The sequence below is a fragment of the Homo sapiens genome, chromosome 11 (genome assembly GCF_000001405.40).
Source record: "Homo sapiens chromosome 11, GRCh38.p14 Primary Assembly".
NCBI lineage: Eukaryota > Metazoa > Chordata > Mammalia > Primates > Hominidae > Homo > Homo sapiens.
In genome coordinates, this window is record NC_000011.10 from 62,369,148 (window position 1) to 62,396,417 (window position 27,270).

General features: G+C 45.4%; 1 protein-coding gene and 1 pseudogene across 6 annotated transcripts in view, besides 6 other annotated features; both read left to right on the plus strand.

The window, feature by feature from the left end:
• The window catches only part of ASRGL1 (asparaginase and isoaspartyl peptidase 1), a 63,984-nt gene that overhangs the window by 31,700 nt on the left and 5,014 nt on the right, over positions 1-27,270 (plus strand). For 2 of the 6 annotated variants that reach the window (NM_001083926.2, NM_025080.4), the window contains exons 5-7: positions 19,986-20,104; positions 22,375-22,485; positions 22,932-24,265. In NM_001083926.2, the coding sequence (NP_001077395.1) occupies positions 19,986-20,104; positions 22,375-22,485; positions 22,932-23,137 (436 nt within the window). In that variant the 3' untranslated portion in view covers positions 23,138-24,265. Of the gene's footprint in view, positions 1-12,649; positions 14,102-19,985; positions 20,105-22,352; positions 22,487-22,931; positions 24,266-27,270 lie in introns of those variants that run through there. The other 4 variants (NM_001441217.1, NM_001441216.1, XM_047427631.1 and 1 more) reach the window with 3 other exon arrangements.
• Positions 1,565-2,087: an enhancer, noted in NCBI's record as "H3K27ac-H3K4me1 hESC enhancer chr11:62138184-62138706 (GRCh37/hg19 assembly coordinates)". NCBI's record gives its function as "activates a minimal SCP1, AML or CMV promoter by ChIP-STARR-seq in primed H9 embryonic stem cells {active_cell/tissue: H9 hESC(primed)}" and the evidence as "EXISTENCE:reporter gene assay evidence [ECO:0000049][PMID:30033119]".
• Positions 2,088-2,610: an enhancer, noted in NCBI's record as "H3K27ac-H3K4me1 hESC enhancer chr11:62138707-62139229 (GRCh37/hg19 assembly coordinates)". NCBI's record gives its function as "activates a minimal SCP1, AML or CMV promoter by ChIP-STARR-seq in primed H9 embryonic stem cells {active_cell/tissue: H9 hESC(primed)}" and the evidence as "EXISTENCE:reporter gene assay evidence [ECO:0000049][PMID:30033119]".
• RCC2P6 (regulator of chromosome condensation 2 pseudogene 6) lies at positions 2,821-4,225 on the plus strand (annotated as a pseudogene).
• Positions 12,998-13,563: an enhancer, noted in NCBI's record as "NANOG-H3K27ac-H3K4me1 hESC enhancer chr11:62149617-62150182 (GRCh37/hg19 assembly coordinates)". NCBI's record gives its function as "activates a minimal SCP1, AML or CMV promoter by ChIP-STARR-seq in primed H9 embryonic stem cells {active_cell/tissue: H9 hESC(primed)}" and the evidence as "EXISTENCE:reporter gene assay evidence [ECO:0000049][PMID:30033119]".
• Positions 13,564-14,129: an enhancer, noted in NCBI's record as "NANOG-H3K27ac-H3K4me1 hESC enhancer chr11:62150183-62150748 (GRCh37/hg19 assembly coordinates)". NCBI's record gives its function as "activates a minimal SCP1, AML or CMV promoter by ChIP-STARR-seq in naive and primed H9 embryonic stem cells {active_cell/tissue: H9 hESC(naive and primed)}" and the evidence as "EXISTENCE:reporter gene assay evidence [ECO:0000049][PMID:30033119]".
• Positions 25,724-25,793: an enhancer, noted in NCBI's record as "active region_4813". NCBI's record gives its function as "activates an Ori minimal core promoter by ATAC-STARR-seq in GM12878 lymphoblastoid cells {active_cell/tissue: GM12878}" and the evidence as "EXISTENCE:reporter gene assay evidence [ECO:0000049][PMID:35858748]".
• Positions 25,904-25,953: an enhancer, noted in NCBI's record as "active region_4814". NCBI's record gives its function as "activates an Ori minimal core promoter by ATAC-STARR-seq in GM12878 lymphoblastoid cells {active_cell/tissue: GM12878}" and the evidence as "EXISTENCE:reporter gene assay evidence [ECO:0000049][PMID:35858748]".

Sequence of the window (27,270 nt, forward strand, 5' to 3'; positions counted from 1 at the left end):
CTGTGGCTTTCCGCAGTGTATTGTGTCCCTGGGTAGTTGAGATTAGAGAATGGTGATGACTTTTAACAAGCATACTGCCTTCAAGCACTTTTTTTTAACAAAGTACATCCTGTATAGCCATAAATCCATTAAACCTTGAGTCAACACAGCACATGTCTCTGCGACACAGGGTTGGGGCTAGGGTTACAGATTAACAGCATCTCAAGGCAGAAGAATATTTCTTAGTACAGAACAAAATGGAGTCTCTTATGTCTACTTCTTTCTACATAGACACAGTAACAGTCTGATCTCTCTTTTCCCCACATAACCCTTTTCTTTTTGACAAAACTGCCATCATCATCATGGCTCGTTCTTGACGGTCGCTGTCTCTTCGGAGCTGCTGGGTACACCTGCAGACTAGCAACAGACAGAACAGGCATGCAAGGATTAATATGAAATTTACAATAATAGTACTTCCGATGGTCTTAACCCAAGTGACAGGGTTAAGATTTGTGAGACCATCAGGAACTGCTGATTGCCTCAGTTCCTGGTACCAAATTTAAATGGGCTTTTGATGCTTTGAACATTTGCTCTTTTAATTTGGAAATGTCTAAAGTGAGATTATCTTCTCTTCCCTGTGGGTGGCGTCTAACCATGTCCCAGTGATGCTCAGACTCATTATAAACTCGGGGTGTAATACAAAAGTCCGACGTATTCCAGTCACACTGTAACTGGAAACGATGTTCTAAGCTCATGAGCCTATCTTCCATCCAAATGACAGTTTGTCTAAGATCATTAATTTGATTTGCCAATTTTTTATCAATACCAGATTGTGAATTCCACAATCTTGTAGAATTATTGTGCCAATGGTTAACAAAGTTTACTGTCTGAACAGAAGAGTACAATGCAACTCCTGCCACAGCGGCCGTAGCTGTGACTGCAATTAATCCCATAGTCACTGCAATTAAAGTAAAATTGAATTTTTTGGCTCTATTTAAGATGGCTTTTAGTACTTCAGTCAAAATATGGATGGATGGTGAGGCCTCCCACAGTCGGTCCATGGACACAGGGATCCACACGCCTTCTCTTGCTCTCACTAGCAGAATATGGTGTTGCCAATTAAAAGTCGAATCAATGCAAGTAAACAATCTGCAGTTTTCGCAGGTTATAGTTTGGGAGTCTGGTTTAATAACTATATTTCCTAACACTAGCATATAAGAGGGCTTTACACAACTTTGCAAAGGAACTGTTAGACTGGAATTTAGGTCGATAGTATAAAATGGCTTACGATCTCTTGTTTCTGTAGTTTGATTTCCAGACCAAATTCTAATGCAGTATGAGGCCACAGTAAGCCTCCATAATTCTGGATGTTCAGGACCAGAAACAGGACTTAATATTTCTGGTCTTGGAGTAGAGATTCCTTTTTCTCCCCATTCCCAAGGGTAGAAAGACTGTAATTTTATGTGCTTCTGTTTGTCTAAACTTTCTGTTAAGTCACTATTAACAGCTGGACTCACTTGTGCACTGGGACACAATTGAGTTTGTCCTGTGCAATTGTGGTAGCATTGACCTCAAGGTGCCCAATCTGTAATAGTTCTGAATTCATCATTTTGTAATATCACCGCACTATTGGCCACACATTCTTCCCAAACTAAAACTTCTGTGTCTTTTGATCCTTTGGGAATTTCCGTGGGGCAAGGTTTTCCTTTAGGCCTAAATTTTAATGATCTTTGATAAGGAAAGTCCTGTAAATAATTTACCTGTGGCCTGTGTGACATTCTGTTTACCATGTGATAAGTAAGTCTACTGGTGGTACTGACAGTAGGTACTGCTACCAACCAATTTTGGATTGCAGCATTAAACATCCTGGCGCATTTTTAAGTGTATCTGAGTGGGCTGGAGCCCTCGTCTGGGCCAGGAAAAAAAAAAAAGCCCTCCGATCCGTCTTTTAGTTGCTTCTCTTCCTTTTTTCTCTCTGGTTTCTCATCACTCCAACCAGCCGCAACCATGCCCAGGAAGAAGGCGGCGGTGGCGGCCTGGGAGGAGCTGAGCTCGGGCAACGGCACTGCCCACGCCAGGGCCCAGGAAACGTGGCGGCCCCGCAGCCGGAAGCGCGAGCCTCCCGAGCGCTGCAGTAGCAGCAGTGGTGGCAGCAGCAGCAGCGGCGACGAGGACGGCCTGGAGCTCGACGGGGCCCCCGGCAGGGGCAAGCGCGCGGCGCAGCCTGTGGCAGCAGGCAAGGTGGGCGGTGCGGCTGTGGTGGTCGCCGAACCCGAGCACACCAAGAAGCACGTCAAACTTGAGACGTGCTGTGTTTACTCAAGGTTTAATGGATTTAGGGCTGTGCAGGCTGTGCTTTGTTAAAAAAGCGCTTGAAGGCAGTATGCTTGGTAAAAGTCATCACCATTCTCTAATCTCAAGTACCCAGGGACACAATACACTGCGGAAGGCCACAGGGACTTCCTCACAAAGTGCAAAGGGGAGCTTTTGATTTTGGGGGCAACCAACTGGGACTTGATTGGTCGAAAATAAGTGCCTAAACAAGGCCAGGAGTGGTGGCTCAGGCTTGTAATCCCAGCACTTTGGGAGGCCGAGGCGGGCAGATCACAAGGTCAGGAGATCCAGACCATCCTGGCTAACACGGTGAAACCCCGTCTCTACTAAAAATACAAAAAAAATTAGCCGGGCGTGGTGGCGGGCTCCTGTAGTCCCAGCTAATCAGGAGGCTGAGGCAGGAGAATGGCGTGAACCCGGGAGGCGGAGCTTGCAGTGGGCCGAGATCGCGCCACTGCACTCTAGCCTGGGCAACAGAGCAAGACTCCGTCTCAAAAAAAAAAAAAAAAAAAAAGTTCCTAAACAGGAAGCTGCGTACGGCAATATCCGTCAGAATTTGTGGGGACCCCATAGGTATGGGTGCCTGGCGGGGGTCCGGGTGCGGACAGTGGTCTCTGGCTCCTGTGCTGCACACAGCCTCCTCATCACCACAGAAGGAAAGCTGTGGAGCTGGGGTCGAAATGAGAAGGCGCAGCTGGGACATGGTGACACCAAGAGAGTAGAAGCCCCCAGACTCACCGAGGGTCTCAGCCACGAAGTGATTGTGTGCAGCGTGTGCGCGGAACCACACCTTGGCCTTGACGGAAACGGGCTCCGTGTTTGCGTTTGGGGAAAACAAGATGGGGCAGCTGGGCCTTGGCAACTAGACAGACGCTGTCCCCAGCCCTGTGCAGATAATGTACAACAGCCTGCCAATTACCAAAATGGCCTGTGAGGCTGCAAATCAGTATGATAATGGACTGCAAAGGAAACCTCTATTCCTTTGGGTGCCCTGAATATGGTCAGCTGGGACACAACTCAGATGGGAAGTTCATTGCCCGGGCACAGCAGATAGAGTATGACTGCAAACTAGTTCCCCAGCGAGTGGCCATCTTCATTGAGAAGACAAAAGACAGATTCTGCCTGTACCAAATATGGTTATGCGAGACGTGGCCTGTGGCGCTAACCACATGCTGGTCCTGGACTCCCAGAAGTGAGTCTTCTCCTGGGGCTTCAGTGGCTATGGCTGGCTGGGCTACACAGAGCAGAAGGATGAGATGGTCCCCCGCCTGGTGAAGCTATTTGACTTCCCTGGGCATGGGGCTTCCCAGATCTATGCTGGTTACACCTGCTCCTTTGCCGTCAGTGAAGTGGGTGGTCTGTTTTTCTGGGGGGCCACCAACACCTCCCATGAATCTACCATGTACCCAAAAGCAGTGCAGGACCTCTGCAGCTGGAGAATCTGGAGCCTGGCTTGTGGGAAGAGCAGCATCATTGTGGCAGCCGATGAGAGCACCATCAGCTGGGGCCCATCACCGACCTTTGGGGAACTGGGCTACAGGGATCACAAGCCCAAGTCTTCCACTGCAGCCCAGGAGGTGAAGACTCTGCATGGCATTTTCTCAGAGCCGGTCGCCATGGGCTACTCACACTCCTTGGTGATAGCAAGAGATGAAAGTGAAACTGAGAAAGAAAAGATCAAGAAACTGCCAGAATACAGCCCCCAAACCCTCTGATGCTCCCAGAGACTCCTCCGACTCCACACCTCTCATGGCAGCTGTCATTTCCATGTGCACTGGGACGGGAAGTCAAACAAGGAATTTAAAAAAGCAAAAGTGGACCGAAGGTGCATTTTTATTTAGACTCCCTGAGGTTCCGTTTTACAAGTGATCCAACGTTAACTACCTTTTTTTCTGTTTGCTTTCCAAAGACCCTTTTTTCCTCTTAATGTCGAATTAAAATACTTGCTCGTAGTTGACTTACCATTCCTACAAAGAGGCAGAAACTTTGAGCAATCTAGGTGTTTTTTTTTTCTTTCTTCCTCTCCTGAATACACTCCCCAAAACACTCCTTTCCAGTTATAATTAGCATCGTGATCTAAGTGGATGCTACATGGAAGAGGAATCGCCATTTACTCAGAAAAAATGTCCCTTACAGGAACCGGCAGCAGCTAGGCGAAGTCGCCGGCCCACCTCCATCCAAAATCATGCTCGCGTGCTTCGGAAGCATCCGGGTCACTCCTTTCCCGCTTTTTCTTGCAGATCGGCCTAGGCCGGTGTCAGTTCTGTTTCTCCTCTTGGCTGCCTGTACACCCACAGCCTTCTGGCTGCAACATTATAGAATCAGCTGTGTCCCCCCTGGTGGGGGATTGGGGATCTGTGTTTAGCCACTTATATCTACTTTAGCTGTTAAAGAAGTCCAAATGAAAATCAGGTGATTATGGAACCATGGGGACTTGGGGGTGGAGCAAAGGTGGGAACATTTGTATCAGTTGAGTCAGCTTCATGGCTCCCTGCGGAGCCAGGGCTGAGCCTTGTCACACGCACTCGCCAATTAGAGATTGATCAGCCAGCAGTCAAATGCATTCTCCAGTCCTTGCAAGAAGGATCAGCCCTTTCTGTACCAGCCTCGATCGCCTTGTACTTTGGTCTCCTTTTCTCCCCTGCCTGGATCCTGCCTCGTGCGGGCCATCCTGTTGCTGAGACTCGGGGTACCGTTCTGCTGACCCAGCTCCCTTTAGTCACGTTTGCTTGGCTCTAGTACCAAATAGTTGGGATTACCAAAGAGTCCCCTTCCTCACATGTCAGCACGGATGCCGTGACTGCCACCCGTGTCCCCGTCAAGTGCCCGTGCCCAAGCTAGCCGCTGTGTGCACTGCACTGAGTGAGTTATGAGGTGCCTTTCCCGGAACCCTCCTCTTGCCTGGACCCAAGAGAGGCAACAGCTGGGGCTGGGGCTCTTGGTTTCCAGAGGGTCTGGACTGGTTTGGGTGCTTTAAAATAGATATTTAGTTCAGTGGTGCTTATGGGGGAGATGGGACTAGAAACTTAAGTGTGAGATTTGGGTGGATGGGAAAGTTAAATATTGGTCTCTTCAAGTTTTTTCTTTAGCTATTGTTACCACTTGTCACTGTCTCCATGTTAAAATGCCAAAAATGATCTAGTTGTTGTTACTTTTTTCCCTATTTTCCACCCCAGTCGCTCCTTACCATGACTCCTGCCCTTGGAGGGCATGTAGCAGTGTCTGTCCAGCCAGTCCCAAGGCCCTGTGGGAAGAGACTGGCCTGCATCTCTCTAAGACTTAGTCTGACGCCACGCGCATCTCTTGATCTGTGTTCAGTCAGTAGTCCAGGGAAGAAGCTTCTGCCACTTCAGAGTTTGCTAAACTAACCTAATTTGTCCAAATCACCCCAAAACCACCATCTCTGACTCAAGCTTCCATGCGACAGCCTGATCCATTTCCCTGGACAGGTCTCTCCTGGAACGCAGCCCAGGCACCTGTGCTCCTGGAACCCTTGAGGTCTCTCCTTTGAGTCGTGGTCACCGAGAGGGTTGAGGACGCAGCACCTGAGGTCCCAGCCTTTGCAGGAGCCGCCCTGGGCAGAGCTGGACTTAGATCTTCGGTGGCCTCATGTAAACCCGGCAGCCAGCCTCTTCTAGAACCCTAGCCCAGGGACTGGAGCAGGAAAGGGATCTTCAAAGTGAAGACTGCCTTGTCCCGCACCTCCTTCTGGCTTAGATTGAAAAATGGGCTTCCTAATGGGTTAAATCCTTTAAAACAAAGAGTTGTGGGGGAAGGGTGCCGTGCACTCCTAGAGAAAGGTACACAGTTGCCCGGCTGGGAACGTGCTTGGCACATCCCTGCGAGCATCTGACTGGTCTTCTAGCTCAGGAAAAAGAATTTGAAAGAGGCTTAGTGTGAAGGGGAATCAAAGAGGAGGTTGTGATTTGGTTGAAGGTGCCTGGTTTAGTGCTGTAATTGTCTTACTTTATATATATATATATATATATATATATATATATATATATATATATATATATATTTCTTGGAGTAAACATTTTAAATAAACGACATCATTATCTACTGAAAAAATAAAAATAAAAAATAAACATCCTGGTGCTCTCCCTAGGCAAGTAGGAGGATAACGATACCCAGTGGAAATATTTGTCATCATTCCTTCTTCCTCAGGTTTGGCAGGGCAACGATCATCTGTGGGGCCAGGTACCCATACACTATTATTAACATATATTTCAGTAGGATTATCCATCCATGTGACTGCCCAAATTAAGGGCGGGAAAGCCACATAGGCCCAGTGGTATAATTAGCTGCAGCTGCTCCTGCAGGCATGGGGAGACTTACCACCATTGATACAATCATCAAAGCTGCAAGCGGCCAGGCATGGTGGCTCATGCCTGTAATCCCAGCACTTTGGGAGGCCGAGGCGGGTGGATCACGAGATCAAGACCAGCCTGACCAACATGGTGAAACCCCGTCTCTACTAAAAATAGAAAAATTAGCTGGGCGTGGTGGCACGCGCCTGTAATCCCAGCTACTCAGGAGGCTGAGACAGGAGAATTGCTTGAACCTGGGAAGTGGAGGTTGCCATGAGCTGAGATCGCACCACTGCACTCCAGCCTGGTGACGGAGCAAGACTCCATCTCAAAAAAAAAAAAAAAAAAAAAAAAAGCTACAAGCAGCCTACTCTCTGGAGTTTGTGTCACCTTTGTGTTCTCAAGGCTTTTTTTTTTTTTTAGCTAACTGTGCCAGCTTCTTTAATTGTGCCCAAGTCAGTGGCTCCGCTTTCTTGGTGGATGGCAACTTCGTCTGTTCTTCTGACATCACCATTCTGTTCATCATATGAGTTGATGGTGCTCGATTGCAGTGTTTCTGTCTCCGCGGAGGCGCTTTTTTTTGCATCTCCGATGGGTTCATTGCAGAACGTTAAATGTCTAGTGGGTATCCAAACAGGAAGCTGATTTTCTCCTAGTGAAACAAGCAAAACCTTTCCCCCACGTTACCACCTTCCCTATTTCCCATGTCTTATTTTTGTTGTCTTTCCACCAAATCAGTTTTCCTTCATGTGGGCTGTTCTTTTTACCAGTAAGATGTTCTGCAGAAGTAGTAGTCTGATTTCTATAAATGTTTAAAAAATTTAAAGTATAGAGTGCTAGATTAAGTTGCATCTGAGGAGTGGTACACTCCTTACTGTCTCCCCCTTCGTTTTGTTTAACTAATTGAGTTTTGAGTGGTCTATTAGTTCTTTCAACTATGGCCTGTCCTTGGGAATTATAGGGAATTCCTGTTGTATGTGTAATTTTCCACGGATTTAAGAATTTTTGGAAAGCTTTACTACAATATCCTGGTCCATTGTCAGTTTTGATTTTTTCTGGAACTCCCATTACAGCAAAACAAGACAATAAATGTTTTTTAACATGGGAAGTACTTTCTCCTGTTTGGCAAGCTGCCCATATGAAATGTGAATAAGTATCAACTGTTACATGAACATATGATAATCTTCCAAATGAAGGTACATGCGTGACATCCATTTGCCATAACACATTAGGACATAGACCTCTGGGATTAACTCCTGCCTCTTGAGTGGGCAGGTGTAGGACTTGACACTGGGTGCAATGTTGTACAATATTTTTTGCCTGTTTCCATGTGACGTCAAATTTGTTTTTTAATCCTGCTGCATTTATATGAGTCAAAGCATGAAGTTCTTGTGCTTTTATGAATGCAGATGGTACCAGTAAGTCAGCTTGTTCATTTGCTTTAGTTAAAGGCCCTGGTAAATTAGTGTGTGCCCAAATATGAGTAATGTAAAATGGGAAATTTCTGTTTCTTACAGTTTGTTGTAATAAATTGAACAGCTGGTTTAACTGATCATCCATGCTATATTTAATTAGAGCTGTCTCAACATCCCTTGTAGCCTGTACTACATATGCAGAATCTGATACAATATTAATAGGTTGATTAAAATCTTGTAACACTGTAAAGACTGCAACCAACTCAGCTCTTTGAGCCGATTGATAATGAGTTTTGATTACTTGCTCTTTTGGCCCTATGTAAGCTGCCTTTCCATTGCTGGAACCATCAGTAAACACCGTCAGAGCATTTTCTAAAGGTTCATGTCTCGTAATTTTAGGTAAAATCCAAGTAGTCAATTTTAAGAACTGGACGATTTTTGTTTTGGGGTAATGATTATCAGTAATTCCCACAAAATCAGTAAGACCAATCTGCCATGCACCAGAATTGATAAAGGCTTGTCTAACTCGTTCCTTGTTTAAAGGAACAACTATTTTGTCTGGGTCATTTCCACACAATTTTATTATTCGTAATTTTGCCTGACCAATTAATGTAACTATTTGATCCAAGTACAATGTAAAAGTCTTAATTGTACTGTGAGGAAGGAATGACCACTCCACAAGATCAGTATTTTGAACATTGATGCCTGCTGGAGAATGTGCAGTAGCAAAAATCAAAAGTTGGAGTGGGGCTAAGGGATCTATTCTATTTATTTGTGCTGGTTGAATTTTTTCTTCCACTAATTTAATTTTTTTTGTTGCCTCTGGAGTGAATATTCTTTTACTATTTAAATCTGGGTCTCCTCTTAAGATAGAGAACAAATTTGACGTGACATAAGTAGGAATGCCTAGAGTTGGCCGAATCCAATTAATATCTCCTAGCAATTTTTGAAAGTCATTTAATGTTTTTAATGTGTCTTTTCTTATTTCTATTTTTTGTAGCTTAATTTTTCTATATTCTATTTGCATCCCTAAGTAATGAAAAGGAGTAGAGGTTTGAATCTTATCAGATGCTATTGCCAGTCCAGCATTGGCAACCTCTGCTTGCAGAAATGTATAACAGTTAATTAATTTGTCTCTCATTTCTGCAGCACATAAAATATCATCAACATAGTGAATGATATAACAGTCTGAAAACTTGTCTCTAACTGGTTGAAGAGCTTGACAAATAGTTGGACTATTAAGCATTCCCTGAGGTAACACTTTCCACTGAAATCTGGTGGCTGGTTCTTTATTATTTATGGCTGGTATAGTAAAGGCAAATTTTTCATAATCCTGCTCCGCCAGAGGGATGGTAAAAAAGCAGTCCTTCAGATCAATTATAATTAAAGGCCAGTCTTTTGGGATCATGGCCAGAGAGGGCAACCCGGGTTGGAGAGGCCCCATGGGTTGAATTACGGCATTTACGGCTCTTAAGTCAGTTAACTTATGCCATCTGCCGGATTTTTTTTGAATTACAAACACAGGAGAATTCCAAGGCGAGAACGAAGGCTCAATATGTCCCTTTTCTAATTGTTCCTTTGCTAATAAATGTAAAGCCTCCAGTTTTTGTTTTGGTAGCGGCCACTGATTTACCCATACCGGTTTTTCTGTTTTCCAAGTTAATGGAATGGGTTTAGGAGGCTCTACAGTGGCCACCCCTAAAAAGGATACCCTATTCCTTTTCTTTCTTGATTTCTCTCAGTCTCAAGTGGAACTTTAATGCCATTTTCATTTTTTCCTAGTCCCTTTCCTGGTATATATCCCATATTAGTCATGATTTTTTGACTCCTGAGGCTGTATAATGGAGCAGGCATAGTGATTTCTGCACCCCATTGTTGTAATAAATCTCAACCCCACAGATGAAGTAATCATTGGTTGAAGTAATCATTGAAGTAATCATTGGTTGAACAGTACTTTCTTGATTATCCGGCCCTAAACAATGTAATAGTACTTTGATACACTTCTGAGGAGTGCCTACGCCGACAAGTCCTGTAACAGCCTTTCATTTAGGCCAATTTTTTGGCCACTGGTTTAAAGCAATGATAGAGACATCTGCTCCAGTGTCTACCAACCCTTCAAACTGTTTTCCTTGAATAATGGCCTTACACACAGGTCTGCTCTCTGAGAACTGACTTGCCCAATATGCAGCCTTTCCTGCCGGATCAGTGCTTCCAAACCCTCCTTTCTATTTATCTCACTGTTTCCAACCTTAATATAAGGCAGGAGTAACAACTGAGCAATCCTGTCTCCTGGACTGGCACTGCAAGGAATTGAGGAGCTAATAACCAATTGAATTTCACCTTTGTAGTCTGAATCAACCACACCAGTATGAATTTGAACTCCCTTTAGATTTAGACTTGATCTTCCTAAGATTAGTCCTACAGTCCCCTCAGGCAGGGGGCCATATACCCCTGTGGGAATTTTTTGTGGGGGCTCCCCTGAAAGCAGAGAGACTGCTTGTATAGTACATAAATCTACTGCTACACTGCCGCTTGTGGCAGGGGACAATTGTTGTATTGTGGTAACTGGCTCATTCCCTGAGGCACTTGTGACAGTGGGGGTTGTTGTCCCTGAAAACCCTGAGGAACAAAGGGCTGAACTGGGAATGCCCCAGTTTGTTGCAGGGCCTGAGGCTGGCCCCTTTGCTGTTTCCTGACAATAGTTGCCCATTTCTATCAAATTTAGAATTTGATAGAATTCTAATAGTGTTTTTCTTTTTTACATCTTGGACATAAGTCGGGTGGCTCTTTATCTGTTGTTGTTGTAGTAGCTTGAATAGTTATATTTTGTTTTTTTGAGGCTGGGCAATTCTTTTTTAGATGACCAATTTGACCACAATTATAACATTTTCCCCCAAATGTTCTAACTTGTCCTCCTAAAGCAACTCCCATTATTGCTTGAGCCATAAGCATAGTTTTATGCATAGCTCCTCCAATTCCATCATAGGCTTTTACGTACTCTGAGATTACATCTGATCCTGTGGGAACCTTCCCTTTTAATGGCTTAGTGGCTGATTGACACTCAGGATTGGCGTTTCCATATGCCATCAACTCCACTATGACCTTACGGGCATTTTCATCGGTAATTGACTTTTGAGCAGCATCTCGGAGCCTTGCCACAAAATCAGGGTAGGGCTTTTTAGAGCCTTGTCTTATTGTATTGAATGAGGGGCAGGTGGTTCCTGGGTCTTGGATTTTTTTCCCAGGCCCTAAGGCAGATAGCTCTAACTTGCTCAATGGCCTCATTTTGCATTATTGCTTGTTGATTAGTAGTGCTCCAATTTTGACCTTTTCCTAATAGTTGATCTGCATCTATGTTAACTGGAGGATTGGCAGCCCTATTACTTCAGACCTGTTCTTGTGCCCCATCAATCCACCAACTCTTAAATTGTAAAAATTGAGACAGTGAGAGTGATGATTTGGCCAAAATCTCCCAATCATAAGGAATGAGTCTATGTCCATGAGCAGTGGAACCTAATAATGTTCTCATATAAGGGGAGTTGGGTCCATACTGTTTTACTCCCTCTTTCATATCTTTTAACATTTTTATAGAAAAGGACTCATATCTGGCCCCAACTAGGGTAGGCGCTCCTTCTTGGGCCCCTTCTCCAGGTGGCATCGGTACTGGGAATTGCCACGCCTCAATATCTCCTTGTTTCCTTGCCTTATCAATAATTTTATGTAATGCACTACCTTGTCCACTAGGTGGTGCTGTAGGATAAAGTCTTATAGTGGGCGGCTGAGGCTATAGCGCCCTGCCCTGTGGTGCTGGAAACACTCCTGGCTGTCCATACTGATTTTCTGGGGGCGGCCGATACTGAAGTTCGGCTGGCGGCCAGTATTGATAGGCTACTGGCGGTTGGGTCTTATTTTCTACCGGCTGATATTGTGGATACTGTATTTGGATTGGCGTTGCCATGACAGAGACTCTCTATTTGATATTCTCTTGGGGTTTGTACTTGTCTAACCTGCATTTGAGGTTGTAATGTTACAGGCATCTGAACCGCTGGAAGAGGAGTTGGCCATCATGGTTTAGACTCTGATGGCCCCGCTAATTCTGGACCTTTTTCTTCTAATTCTAATGCTTCAGGATATATTACCTCCTGTAATTGATTGTAGTCAACATTTTGCATTGACCGAGCCATTACAGACTCTGCTACATATTTACAATGTGAACTTTTGAACTTTCCATTCCTTTCTGGGATTCTATCCCTGCCTATTCTTCACAATCTATTACACAGCTTTCAGGGGCATCAGCAACTGAAACGCTATCTTCTCCTGTTTGAAACAGTTCTAAATTAGCTGCTTTAATAATGGCCCAATCATTCCATACGGTAAGTGGGATGATTTTACCCTTCCTACTTGCTTGTTTTAATTCTTTGCCAATTTTTTCCCAATCTTTTAGATCTAAAGTTCCCTGTTCTAGAAACCATGGGCAGAATTGTTCTACTGTTTGAAATAGCGTGATTAGATTTTTTTGTAGAGACTCTAACTCCCCCCTTTTTAAAAGAATTTTAATAAAGCTGAGATAAGAGGCATATTTACTTTCAGTTTGCCCCATTGTTACCCTAGGTTCTTCCGAGGGCACAAGCTTACCACAAGACTGACTGTAGACGTACTCGGGAATCTCTCATCAACTTGTTCTCAATGACCACGCTCTAGCTCACCTTCACCCTAGAGAAAAGCACCCACGTTGGGCACCAGATGAAGGGGTGGCCAGCCCCTCTACACCTGTGGGCGTTTCTCATCAGGTGGGACGAGAGACTGAGAAAAGAAATAAGAGGCTGGGTGCGGTGGGTCACGCCTGTAATCCCCGCACTTTGGGAGGCCGAGGCCGGTGGATCACGAGGTCAGGAGATCGAGACCATCCTGGCTAACAGGGTGAAACCCCATCTCTACTAAAAATACAAAAAATTAGCCGGGCCCAGTGGCGGGTGCCTGTAGTCCCAGCTACTCAGGAGGCTGAGGCAGGAGAGACAGAGACAACGTATAGAGAAAAAAAAGTGGGCCCAGGGGACCGGTGCTCAGCATACGGAGGACCCCCACCGGCAACAGTCTCTGAGTTCCCTCAGTATTTACTGATCATTATCTCTACCATCTGGAGAGGGGGATGTGGCAGGACAATAAGTTAATAGAGAGGAGAGGGTCAGCAGGAAAACATGTGAACAAATGTCTCTGTGTCATAAATAAGGAAAGGTGCTATGCCTTGATGTGCATGTATACAAACATTAAAGAGCAGTATTGTCGCTAGCACCTCTCACCTCCAGCCCTAAGGCTGTTTTCTCCTATCTCAGTAAATAGAACATACAATCGGGTTTTAAACCCAGACATTCTATTGCCCAGGGACAAGCAGGAGACAGATGCCTTCCTCTTATCACAACTGCAAAGAGGCCTTCCTCTTTTACTAATGCTCCTCAGCACAGACCCTTTACGGGTGGGGTGTCGGGCTGGGGGACAGTGTCGGGCTGGGGGACGGTCAGGTCTTTCCCTTCCCACAAGGCCATATCTCAGGCTATCACATGGGGAGAAACCTTGGACAATACCTGGCTTTCCTAGGCAGAGGTCCCTGCAGCCTTCCGCAGTGTATTGTGTCCCTGGGTACTTGAAATTAGAGAATGGTAATGACTTTTAACAAGCATACTGCCTTCAAGCACTTTTTTAACAAAGCACAGCCTGCATAGCCCTAAATCCATTAAACCTTGAGTCAACACAGCACGTCTCTGCGACACAGGGTTGGGGTAGGGTTACAGATTAACAGCATCTCAAGGCAGAAGAATTTTTCTTAGTACAGAACAAAATAGAGTCTCTTATGTCTACTTCTTTCTACATAGACACAGTAACAGCCTGATCTCTTTCGTTTCCCCACAAATCCATATAGTATTTGAGTGTGATAATGTAAAAATCAGTATTCATTTCTAAATCTAAGTACTGCTTTGAGAATTTTGTTGGTAATTCCAGTTGCTGCTGCTTCAGCAGAAGGAAGCTTCTCCAAATTAAAATAAATTAAAAACTTGCTAAAAACTATGTTGACTCAAGAAAGCTTGTCTTTTGCCATTTTGTCAATAGAAGTCACGTTAAGTATAAGAACATCATCAGGGGCCGGGCGCGGTGGCTCACGCATGTAATCCCAGCACTTTGGGAGGCCGAGGCGGGCGGATCACGAGGTCAGGAGATCGAGACCATCCCGGCTAAAACGGTGAAACCCCGTCTCTACTAACAATACAAAAAATTAGCCGGGCGTAGTGGCGGGCGCCTGTAGTCCCAGCTACTCGGGAGGCTGAGGCAGGAGAATGGCGTGAACCCAGGAGGCGGAGCTTGCAGTGAGCCGAGATCCCGCCACTGCACTCCAGCCTGGGCGACAGAGCGAGACTCCTACTCAAAAAAAAAAAAAAAAAAAAAAAAAAGAACATCATCAGGCCAGGCTTGGTGGCTCACGCCTGTAATCCCAGCACTTTGGGAGGCCAAGGTGGGTGGACTGCCTGAGCTCAGGAGTTCATGACCAGCCTGGGCAACATGGTGAAACCCCATCTCTACTAAAAAATACAAAAAATTAGCCAGGCTTGGCAGTGTGCACCTGTAGTCCCAGCTTCTCAGGAGGCTGAGGCAGGAGAACTGCTAGAACCCAGTTGCAGTGAGCCGAAATCACACCACTGCACTCCAGCCTGGGCGACAGGGCAAGAGTTGGTCTCAAAAAAAAAAAAAAAATCAGTACTCCCTGGAATGAAGCCAAGAAAAAATATTTTAATGGAATAAATACATAACTTATTAAATGCATCTGTGTGTGTGCATGTGTGTGTGTGCACGTGTGTGCGTGTGTGTGTGTGTGTGTTTGCCATTCATCTGCCATCACCAGCCGATTAACAAATGACCCTGGTATGCACAATAATAACTAAGTTAAGTCATCATTGGTAGTTTGTCAGCTTGCAGTGAGCCAAGATCACACCCCTGCACTCCAGCCTGGGCAACAGTGCAAGACTCCGTCTCAAAAACAAAAAAAAGTCCGGGCGCAGTGGCTCACACCTTTAATCCCAGCACTTTGGGAGGCCAAGGCAGGCAGATCATGAGGTCAGGAGTTCAAGACCAGCCTGGCCAAGATGGTGAAACTTCATCTCTACTAAGAATACAGAAAAATTAGCTGGGTGTGGTGGTACACGCCTGTAATCTCAGCTGTTTGGGAGGCTGAAGCAGAGAATTCCTTAAACCCGGGAGGCAGAGGCTGCTGTGAGCTGAGATGGCGCCACTGCATTTCAGCTTGGGCAAAAGAGCAAGACTCCATCTCAAAAAAATTTAAAAAGTAGATTTTAGGTACTCTTACCACAAAAAAATAAAGAAAGGTAATTGTGAGATGATAGGTATGTTATTCTAGTTGACTGTAATCATAATTTCACTATGTATATCAAAACATTCATGGCTGGGTGTGGTGGCTTATGCCTGTAATCCTAGAACTTTGGGAGGCCAAGACAGGCAGACTGCCCGAGCTCAGGAGTTGAAGACCACCCTGGGGCCAACATGGTGAAACCCCGTCTCTACTGAAAGACAAAAAATTAGCCGGGAGTGGTGGTGCATGCCCATAATCCCAGCTACTCAGGAGGCTGAGGCAGGAGAATCACTTGAACCTGGGAGATGGAAGTTGCAGTGAGCCGAGATCACACGACTGCACTCCAGCCTGCGCCACAGAGCAAGACTGTCTCAAAAAAAAAAAAAAAGTTCACCTTATATACAGTGAAACATATATACAAGAAAAATACCGATTTTTCAAGATACATTTACCACAGTAACAGGATAGAACATACTTATAACTTCCCAATATTAAATATATGGTATGTGGGCCTCCAGTTGTATTTGTATTGTTGCCATGGCCCCTTGCAAATGTTAGAGGTGGGCCTGCCACCAGCAGGGACTGGGAGAACCCTCCTTCCTTATCTAACAGGTAAAGGGTAACACTGTTACTTTAATTTGCTCTTCCCTTTCCCTGACAGTGAGTTTGAGCATTTTACATTTGTTTATGGGTTTTTCCTTTTTACAAATTTGCCTAGTTTTGTCCTACACTCATTTTTTCCTTTGAATTATTTTTTCCCTTTCTTATCAGTCTCATTGTTTTTTCTTTTACATTTTTAACGTTCTTTATAGATAGATGGGATTTCTCTATGTTGCTCAGGCTGGCCTTGAGCTCCTGGGCTCAAGTGATCCTCCTACCTCTTCCTCTTGAGTAGCAGGAACTACAGGCACAAGCCACTGTACCTGGCTCTTATGAGCCTTAAGGTTATGTTCTGCTGTAAATAAAATTTTAAAAAATCCCAAATCTGCTGTTTTTATTTTGCTTTTGCTATGGTATTTTTGCCACATAAAAGATTTTAGGGCCAGGCGTGGTGCCTCACGCCTGTAATCCCAGCAGCTTGGGTGGCTGAGGCGGGTGGATCACTTGAGCCCAGGAGTTTGAGACCAGCCTGACCAACATGGTGAAACCCCGTCTCTACTAAAAATACAAAATTAGTCGGGCATGGTGGTGCATGCCTGTAATCCCAGCTACTTGGGAGTCTGAGGCAGGAGAATCACTTGTACCCAGTAGGTGGAGATTGCAGTGAGCCAAGATCACGCCATTGCACTCCAGCATGGGCAACAAGAGCAAAACTCCATCTCAAAAATGAAATAAAATAGGCCGGGTGCAGTGGCTTACGCCTGTAATTCCTGCACTTTGGGAGGCTGAGGTGGGTGGATCACAAGGTCAGGAGTTCGAGACCAGCCTGGCCAACATAGTGAAACCCCATCTCTACTAAAAATACAAAAATTAGCTGGGCATGGTGACACACGCCTGTAGTCCCAGGTACTCGGGAGGCTTAGGCAGGAGAATAGCTTGAACCCATGAGGCAGAGGTTGCAGTGAGCCAATATCACGCCACTGCCCTCCAACCTGGGCAACAGAGTGAGACTCCATCTCAAAAATAAATAAAAGTAAAATAAAAAAAGATTTTAAATTTTTTCTGGCAGGTGGATTACTTGAGGTCAGGAGTTTGAGACTGTAACCAGTTTAGGGTTACAGTAGCTCCCCTTATCTGCGGTTTCACTTTCTGTGCTTTCAGTTACCCACACTCAACTGCGGTCTGATGTTTTGAGAAAGAGACCACATTCACATAACTTTTACTATAGTATATTGTTATAATTGTATTATTTTATTATTGTTAATCTCTTACTGTGCCTAATTTATCAATTAAACTTTATCATAGATATGTACATATCATACATATCATAGATATGTACATATATATGTACATATATAGATATGTATAGGGGGAAAGATAGTGTTTATAGAGGTCAGCGCTAGCTGAGGTTTCAGGCATCCACTGAGGGTCTTGGAACGTATCCCCTGCAAATAAGGGGGGACTACTGTTTTACACCTACTGCTGCTGTGAACACTTGAGAATGCGCTTATGGTAAACACCTGTCCATATTTCTGATGGACAGATACACAGGTGTATAATTGCTGAGTCATGGAATGTGCATATCATCAGTTTCAGTAGATACTGTGAAATGCTTTTCCAAAGATGTTGGTACAATTGACACTAACAGCAGTACTGAATGAGAGTTCCACTTCCTGCACATCCTTGCCAGGTTTGATGTGCCTCTTCATTTTAGCCATTCTACTGGAGGGCAGGTGGAGTGGAAAGAATGATTTTTTTTTTTTTTTCTGAGATGGAGTCTCACTCTGTCACCCAGGCTGGAGTGCAATGGCACAATCTCAGCTCACTGCAGCCTCCACCTCCTGGGTTCAAGCGATTCTTCTGCCTCAGCCTCCCAAATAGCTGGGATTACAGACACACGCCACCACACTTAGCTAATTTTTTTTTTTTTTTGTATTTTTAGTAGAGACAGAGTTTCACCATGTTGACCAGGCTAGTCTCAAACTGCTGACCTCAGGTGATCAGCCTGCCTCGGCCTCCCAAAGTGCTGGAATTACAGGTGTGAGCCACAGCGCCTGGCCAAGAATGATTATTTTTAAGATTGAACTCAGGTTGTGTCACTTCCTAACTCAAACTGCCCAGCGTCCTCCCATTTAACTCAGAATAAAAGCCTTTGCAATGGCCTAAAGGTAGGATGATTATATTCTTTAGTGTTTAAACTGAAACTTAATTTTGAGAGTAAAAGTGGTACTATTAATAATTAAGCCATGACAGCAGGCATACATTTGAACTGGCCTGGGTAACTAGTGTGTATGGTCACCCCACTTGTCAAGAGATATCGTGATCTGGACTTGGCTGTCCCTCTGATCATTCTCCTACCACGCTCTCCCTCATTTTATTCTCTCCAGCCACACTGGCCTCCTTCAAATTCCATGCACATGGCAGGCATGTTTGTGCATCAGGAACGCTCCTCCCCAGCAGCTGGGATGGCATGATTGCCCCTCTGTCCTGCAGAGACACTCTGTGTAAAACAGCACCTCCCCACCATCACTCTTCCCTGGTGCTTCTTTGTTTTTTTGTTTGGGTTTTTTGTTTTTTTGTTTTGTTTTTGTCACCTGACATATTATTGCCCTGTTACTACCACCCTCTACCCCAAATGCAGGCTCCATGGGAGAAAGGACTTTGTTTAGCTTTACCACTGTGTCCCAGCACTTAAAACAATGCCTCAAATATAATTCATTATAGAACCTTGCTGGTGGGTATGCTGGGGTGTTCGTGTACAATTTGTTCAACTGTGTTACAGTCACGCGTCTCATGACAGGACAAGAAATGCATCCTGAGAAATGCATAGTTGGGCAATTTCATGGCCATGCAAACATCATAGGGGTGCACTCACACAAACCCAGATAGGAGAGACTAATACACATCTAGGCTATGTGGTCCGGCCTGTTGCTGCTACGCTACACACCTGTGCAGCATGTGACTGTCCTGAATCCTCTAGGCAGTTGTCACACAATGGTAAGTACTTGTGTATCTAAACATAGAAGTACAGTAAAAATAGAGGATTATAATCTCATGGGACCACCATCCTATATGCAGTCTGTTGATCAAAACATCATAGGTGGCACATGACTGTATTCGAGAATTCATAATAAAATGTTAGGGGAAAATTAACGGATTTGATCTTTACGACAACCCCATGCACAGGGTCCATAGGCAGGCAGCATCAGCGACACCCGGGAGGTTGTCAGAAACGCAGGATCAGCCAGGCACAGTGGCTCACGCCTGTAACCCCAGCACTTTGGGAGTCCAAGGCAGGCGTATCACCTGAGCTCAGAGGTTTGAGACCAGCCTGGCCAAGATGATGATGAAACCCTGTCTCTACTAAAAATATAAAAATTACCCAGGTGTGGTGGTGCATGCCTGTAGTCCCAGCTACTTGGGAGGCTGAGGCAGGAGAATCACTTGAACCCGGGAGGCAGAGGTTGCCGTGAGCCAAGATTGTGCCACTGCACTGCAGCCTGGGCGACAAAGTGAGACTTCATCTCAAAAAAAAAAAAAAAAAAAAAGCAGGATTTTGGGTCCCAGCCTGTATCTACCAAGTCACTTTTTCCTTTCCTTTCTCCTCTTGGTGGCAGCTTCAGAGTCTCTGTGGGCCCAAGCACCCCAGGAATTCTTATACACACTAAAGTTTGAGAAGCACTCTTACTTTTATCCCCATTTTATGATGGGGACAAAGAGACACAAAATAAAACTTAGCATCACAGCTAGAAAACGGTGGTGTTGGGATTGGATGTACTCTTAAAGCTGAGGTGTGGAGGAGTGTCCAGCAATCCACCTGTAACTTACACGTAGAATGAGAAGCAGCAGGTTCTTTCTAGAATGTTGGAATTAAATGGGTGCCCCATCAACATATAACATGAAACTTTAAGTGGTTTTAAGGTACATTGTTGGTTATGGTGTTCATTCTCATTTTCAGCCTGTCACTTTTTTTCTGTTTATTTTTGGCAGAAACTTGGGAACCGTGGGTGCTGTTGCCTTGGACTGCAAAGGGAATGTAGCCTACGCAACCTCCACAGGCGGTATCGTTAATAAAATGGTCGGCCGCGTTGGGGACTCACCGTGTCTAGGTAGGACCAAGGGATGCCTCCTGCCCCTTCCCCTCTTCTCCCGCCCTCAGGCTTTCCTCACTCTCTATTCCCTGCCCCTCTCCGTTTCTTGCTGCGTTCCCTTTCTGCTTTTGGTGCAGCTCCAGGATGTCTGGGAGTGACAATGGGGTTGGAAGGGGTTGTTCGGGGTGCTGCCTTGAGAGGGTGTTTGTATCTGGCGCCACTGTTTTTACTAGATTGCATGCCTTTTTGGAACAACTTGGGGAGAGAAGTGGAGACAGGGATGCTAACGTTGCCCCCAGTCTACCCTGTCGTGATTCTGTCTTCTCTTTAGCCACAGTTTCAGGATCTGCAGACTTACTTGAGTAAGACTTACTCCCGAGACATGGGCTCTGATTAGCAATCTGAGAAATCTGAGACTGCAGTTGTTAGATCTGAGCAGCATGAAAGTGACATACTTCTACAGACACATTATAGATTGAGATGTTGTTTACATTAACGGGGAAGCACGCCATCTCATTCCCAGGAGTGGGTGAGAGGCAGGGCTGGGGGGCTGTATGTTTCACTCCGTGCAGACTTTCACACTTGTCATGCAGGAATCCTCATGAACCCCCACAGGTGACTGAAGTTTTGAGAAGCAGCTAAATTGTTCCATCTGCCCTAAAGAGCAGCTTATTCTTTTAGAGGAAAACTAGCCCTACCTTCCCTTTTTAATGTGTTGCTCTAGTCTTTAGTAATAATCTACACTCTCGACAATTCTTGATACCCTTTTTCTGTCATGAACTCAGAGACACTGGAAGCTTCCTTAAAAAGAGTAGAGGCTTGGTAACTCCTCTTCTCCTTGGTATATCACCCAAGAGATGTGAAGTAGTCTACCTTTCTTTCTCCTTGGCAAAAATCCCACCAAACTGTGCCTGGTCAGTAGTGCAGCTTGCTTCAGCTGCGTTCAGACCAGGCCACAGGGCCACTCCAGGTTAGATCCTAGAAATTAATTTTAAGCTTGAGTTACAGTGGTAAATCTTGACAAGAAAAGGCATAAGCTAAATTCTCAGAACTCTCTGTCCAGCTGTGAGCACCAGGTGTGCTCTGCCTGGCCTTCTGAGGAGCCTCCCCAAGGAGCACTGCCACTGGCCAGGCCCCTGCCTGGACAGTCATGGGGGACGGTACTAGGCTCAGCAGTGGTCACCTCAGGCAATGCACTTGTCCTGAGAAGTGCATGTGGCGGGGAGGACAGCTTCACACGCCCGATGCCTGTGCCAGGACCACCCTTGGAGACACCTGGCCTTCTGTGGTCCTAGAGTAACTGAAAAGTAAGCAAAGACTTGGCTGCTTCCAAATATTAGGGCACTTTGACACCATGGAACCCGGTCAGTTAATTCCCCAGCAGAAGCTTATAAGAAAAAGTAAAGGCGCCTCCTCCCACTGCAGCAGTTCATTGGCTGTCCAGTGTCAGCTCCCTCCAGAACCAGAGCCAGGGATTATCTGCCTTTGAGAACCTCTGGGGCCTTGTGACAATCCAATGCAGCATCTCAACTCCTGAGTCCTTGCCCCATGTCCAGCATCAATAAGTAAGGCAAATGTCAATCTTCTGTGCTTCTGTATCAACTGTGGGAGGGTAAAGGCGAATCCTTCCAAGGCTAAAGGACTCTGAGGCTGGTAGCTGTGTGTGAACAGATACAAGAATGACTCAGAGAAGGCTGTAAGGTTGCTTAATCCAAGCCCAAAATAAGGAAGAAATCTTATCAAAGTAGCTTTCACTCCAGACCCCCACTTAAGTGGATAGCCCAGAATAGTTCCCTCAGGTCCAATTATGCCCACCCTCAACAAATATAACTGCCCTCCATTAGACAGTGTGCATGGATGTTAGGTTGTGGGTATCATTTTCCCCAAATCACTGGAACATGATGGCCTTGCTAGAGATCCATATAATGCAGTCATGCTGTTTCTTCCTCCATAGTGTGTGGGGCATGAGGAGGAGACAGGGAGAGGGTGGCTTCATTGAGCAAAAAGGAATGGCTGTGCTTTGGGGCCAAGGAGATGCTGTCCTGCTGTAGCTGCTCTGTGAAAGGTCAGGCCTGCCCCTCTGAGGCTCCCTTTATCCTCCTAAATTCTGGGGCATCTACATGACGCTTTCTAGTCCACCTTTGCCTCCGCAGATCATGGCTACTAACCTGACCTTTGTCGGTACTTGAGCACCCTTCGCGATTTAACTTTCATGTAGCGTCCGACTTCTAATATGGATTTGAATTTCTTGACTGTTACTGCTCAGAACAATCACCCTTTTTGAGCAGGAGCTGGAGGTTATGCCGACAATGACATCGGAGCCGTCTCAACCACAGGGCATGGGGAAAGCATCCTGAAGGTGAACCTGGCTAGACTCACCCTGTTCCACATAGAACAAGGTACACAGACCACAGGACAAGTAAAATAATTTGTGAAGATAAGTGCATAGAAGGTATTTGATAAGTAAGCGCATGGAGAAGTGTAGGAAACCCTTTCCTGTTGGCTACAGATGTTGCTTTCAGGCCGTTAACACCTTGTTTTGACTCTCCGCCTTCCCTTAGGTCTGGAATGGTAGAGCATTGAGTACTGTTATCTTCCACATCTCAGGAGAAGGGGGCAGTAGAGAGACATTGAGCCTGGATGTGGGAGGGAAGACCCCTCTGCTCAGGCTGATGCTAGGGCGCTGTCTCAGGGCAAGGAGGTGAGGACCCTCCTTTTAAGCATTCAGGCGTTCATTTACCAAAAATCCTTGCTAGCTCACTTTGGCATTTCAAATGGCAAGTGATTTTCCCATGAGATTCCTTTCAGTAATGTGTGTTGTTTCTCAACCCTTCCTTGTTTTCAGGAAAGACGGTAGAAGAGGCTGCGGACCTATCGTTGGGTTATATGAAGTCAAGGGTTAAAGGTTTAGGTGGCCTCATCGTGGTTAGCAAAACAGGAGACTGGGTGGCAAAGTGGACCTCCACCTCCATGCCCTGGGCAGCCGCCAAGGACGGCAAGCTGCACTTCGGAATTGATCCTGACGATACTACTATCACCGACCTTCCCTAAGCCGCTGGAAGATTGTATTCCAGATGCTAGCTTAGAGGTCAAGTACAGTCTCCTCATGAGACATAGCCTAATCAATTAGATCTAGAATTGGAAAAATTGTCCCGTCTGTCACTTGTTTTGTTGCCTTAATAAGCATCTGAATGTTTGGTTGTGGGGCGGGTTCTGAAGCGATGAGAGAAATGCCCGTATTAGGAGGATTACTTGAGCCCAGGAGGTCAAAGCTGAGGTGAGCCATGATTACTCCACTGCACTCCAGCCTGGGCAACAGAGCCAGGCCCTGTATCAAAAAAAAAAAAAAAAAGAAAAGGGAAAAAAGAAAGAAAGCAGCAGCATGATCCTGACATGACAGATGTGGGAGACCCACAGCCTGCAGACACTGTGGGCTGGAAGGTGGGAAGGGAGGGGCCGGTGGAGGTGGAGCTGTTTGAAAGTGACACAGCAGCAGTAGAAGCAGTGGTGGGCGAAGCCCAGGTGACCCTCAGAACGTTGCACAAGAACATCAGGGAAAAGAACCAGAATCCTTTAAGGAAAATGTTCTTCATGTATGAGAGACTAAAGTGATTTTTCTAAGAAAGTTCAGCCCTTCTCTGACTTACCTGGACATTTCTAGATACTTCCAAAGGACCCTCTGGGAATCCATAGCTTCCTAATCTGGAGATGGGAGGTCATAAGGGAGACGCTGTGGGGTTCCTTGAAGTTTCTTGGGTTCACAGAGGAGCCCCCTCACTTGGTGTTCTCCCGTGAGCCAGCCTCCACCTGCCAAAGACACTCTGGTCCTCGTATAGTGAGTAATGGGGCTCAGGGCCTCTCCAACAACAGAGAGGAGCTGATGCTGTAGGGCTGACCCCGTGACTTCCTGAGTCCTCACCCTGTCCAGTGCTTTGAGATTCTTCCCACCTCCCCATCCTCACCAGCCGGATCGGGCGCTGTGCAGTGTGGTCAGCATGGTGAAGAAAGTCATTTCCTCGGTGGGCAGTATTCCTCTTTATCTCTCATTACACTGGAAATGTTATTTCTGCTGTATCATCCGTGCTCAACGTTTTAGTCTGTCAGGCTCACCTTCTCTCTGGAAAGAATTTGCTTAACTTGACATTCCATGTGCCGCTAATAAAATATATTTTGAAAGAATAAGGGTGTGGTTGGGAGTCACTGTTGACAAAGACCAGAATGTACACGAGCTCCCCCCTTGGTCTCAGGTGTACTACAGAGACCTCGAGATGAGGATGGTGTGGAGGGTGATATGTGCCACCTTGTGGAGTACTCGTGAGTTTTTCAGAAGAACTGAACTTTTTCTGAGTGGGTCAAGGAAGAAGCCAAACCATGATAGGGTTTATGGCGCAGTCTTCCTGCAGTTTGCCAGCATTCACCCCAGACAGAGGTGCACAGTAAAAACCTCAACATGCAACAACTCCCCCTTTAGAAACAAGTATTTTATTAGGAGGTGTATTAGTTGAAGATTGCCACAACACGATTCCACAGACTAAGTGACTTAACCAACAGAAATTTATTAATATTTTCTCAGCTCTGGAGGCTAAAAGTCCAAGATCAAGGTGTCGGCCACGTTGGTGTCTCCCGAGGCCTCTCTCCATGGCTTGTGTAATAGCTGGCCATCTTCTCACTGTGTCCTCACATGGTCTTTCCTCTGTACGTGCACAGCCCTGCCATCTGTCTCTATATGTCCTAATCCCCTCTTCTTATGAGGACACCATATTAGATATAATTTATATATTATAATATATAAATTATATAATATATAAGTTACAATATATCTAATATGGTATATTTATTATATATTATAATTTATACAATATATAATATATATTATAATTTACATATATATTATATATAATAAAATATATAACATTTATATAATACATATATATTATATATCATATAAATATATATACTATTATATATAATATATGATATATAATATTATATATTTTATGTATTATATATAATTTGTTATATATTATATACTATATATTATATATCATATATTGTATATATTATATATTATATAAAAATATATGATATATAATTTATAATTTATAATATATATTATATATAATATGTAAATTATAATATTAGATTAAGGTCCACCCTAATGACCTCATTTAACCTTAATCACCTCTTCAAAGGCCCTGTCTCCAAATACACTCACATGCTGAGGTACTGGGGGTTAGGGCTTCAGCATGTGAATTTGGGAGAGGACAGAATTCAGTCCATAACAGGAGGCAAAACAGAATCATGTTGGGGTTTGGAAAGGGGAGACCCTTTGGAGAAGACAACAATCGCTAAGGAGATAGAAAAAAGGAAGGAGGGAGCTGGGGGATAGGGAGGCCAGTTGGAAGATCTGGTTTTGAGCTTGTCTTACCAATTCTCCAGTTCACAAGGAAATTTACTCTAGTTATTAAAGATTACCGTAGGCTCAGCTTGTGGCCACTTGACCTCTTTAGCTGGGCAGCCCAGGTGCTAGGGTACGTATGGGGTCGTCAGCCCCTTTGTGCAAAGCCAAAGTGTGTATTTTTGCCCTCAGACCTGAGTTGTACCAAAAGCCACCTCCACCAGCCTGGGAGTTCTGTAAATGGAGACCACGTACAGTTCTTGCTTTTGCCCCACAGCTTGTCCATGGCTCACTGTCAAACAGAGAAATGAGCCTGACAGCATCTGAAAGGGGAAGACAATCTTTTTATCACTTCTGTGCCACAAGAGGGCAGCAAACTATAAACTATCCATGGCTTCAGCCGCCCAAAGGGAAGGTACTCTATCTGGATCAGAGCAGTCTATTTAGAAAATTTGGAACCAAAAGAACATTCCTCTTCCTGACCTTCATTTTCGTCCAAATACTACAATTTATTTTAGAGCAGAATTGTCCAAAACACAAACGCTAGCAAATGGCCCGAAGAACCCACCCAGATCAACAGTGGAAGCTCGCTCTGCCCTGGGCGCTGCCAGATGCCGGATGCCAGATCCCACGGTGAACAAGCTCTGGCAGCCCGGCCCCGCCCCCACTTGCTCCTTCCAGCCAGGAAGACAGATACATCGTCATGTGGCTCACCCACCAAAATGGTGGGATAATAAGGAGCACAAGACGGGCCCTGAGCCAAGGCCAAGTGTCCCCAAGCAGGAGTTGCTGCAGTCAGGACTCAGCCCCACTGCTGGGCTGCAGAGAAGAGTCCTGGGTAAGGAAGGGCCTTGATCTCGTAGCTGTTGCATAATACACATTTTTCTCAAATAATATTCCTAGACTTCTTCCTCTCTAGCTTGAGGGATTGTAAACTCTGAGACCAAAGGAAGGAGTGGGGCACACGTTAGTCCCCTTCAGTGTCCTGTTGTCAGAGGTGATGGTGTGTGGGGAAGGCTGGGAAGGGACACTCGTTCTTCCCGCCCCCCACCTGCTCCTCTGAAGTCCTCCCATCAGCCTTCATCTTTGCACAAAACCATCACTGCATTTGGATTTTGTAGCTGTTTCTTTTTTTTTTTTTTTTTTTTTTTTTTTTTTGAGATAGAGTCTTGCTCTGTCACCCAGGCTGGAGTGCAGTGGCACGATCTCAGCTCACTGCAACCTCCACCTCCCAGATTCAAGCAATTCTCCTGCCTCAGCCTCCCGAGTAGCTGGGATTACAGGCGCCCGCCACCATGCCTGCCTAATTTTTTTGTACTTTTAGTAGAGACAGGGTTTCATCATGTTGGACAGGCTGGTCTCGAACTCCTGAACACAAGTGATCCACCCACCTCGGCCCCCCAAAGTGCTGGGATTACAGCACCACCGCACCCGGCCTTTGTAGCTGTTTCATGGGAACAAGGAAGTGGCCCCATCAACCTTGTCTGGCTAAAAAAAATGCAGGTGTCCTCTCCCTTTTGCATAGGTGTAGGCGTGACCCAGAGAGGAATGGGGATGGGCAGAAGGACAGAGGCAGAACCAGGCCTAGGAATGGGGGTGGGAGTATGGGCCTGGAACACAGTGGAGGTTGGGGGAGGTGGTGGGGGTGCCCATTAGTGGCTGCATCCAGAATGTAAATGCCATTAAACAAAACCAGCCTTTCCACCTCACCCCACCCCACATCCACACCCCCACAAAGAGCTGAGCCACAGCCGTCCATAGCACATCTCTTCTGAGAAGTTAAAAA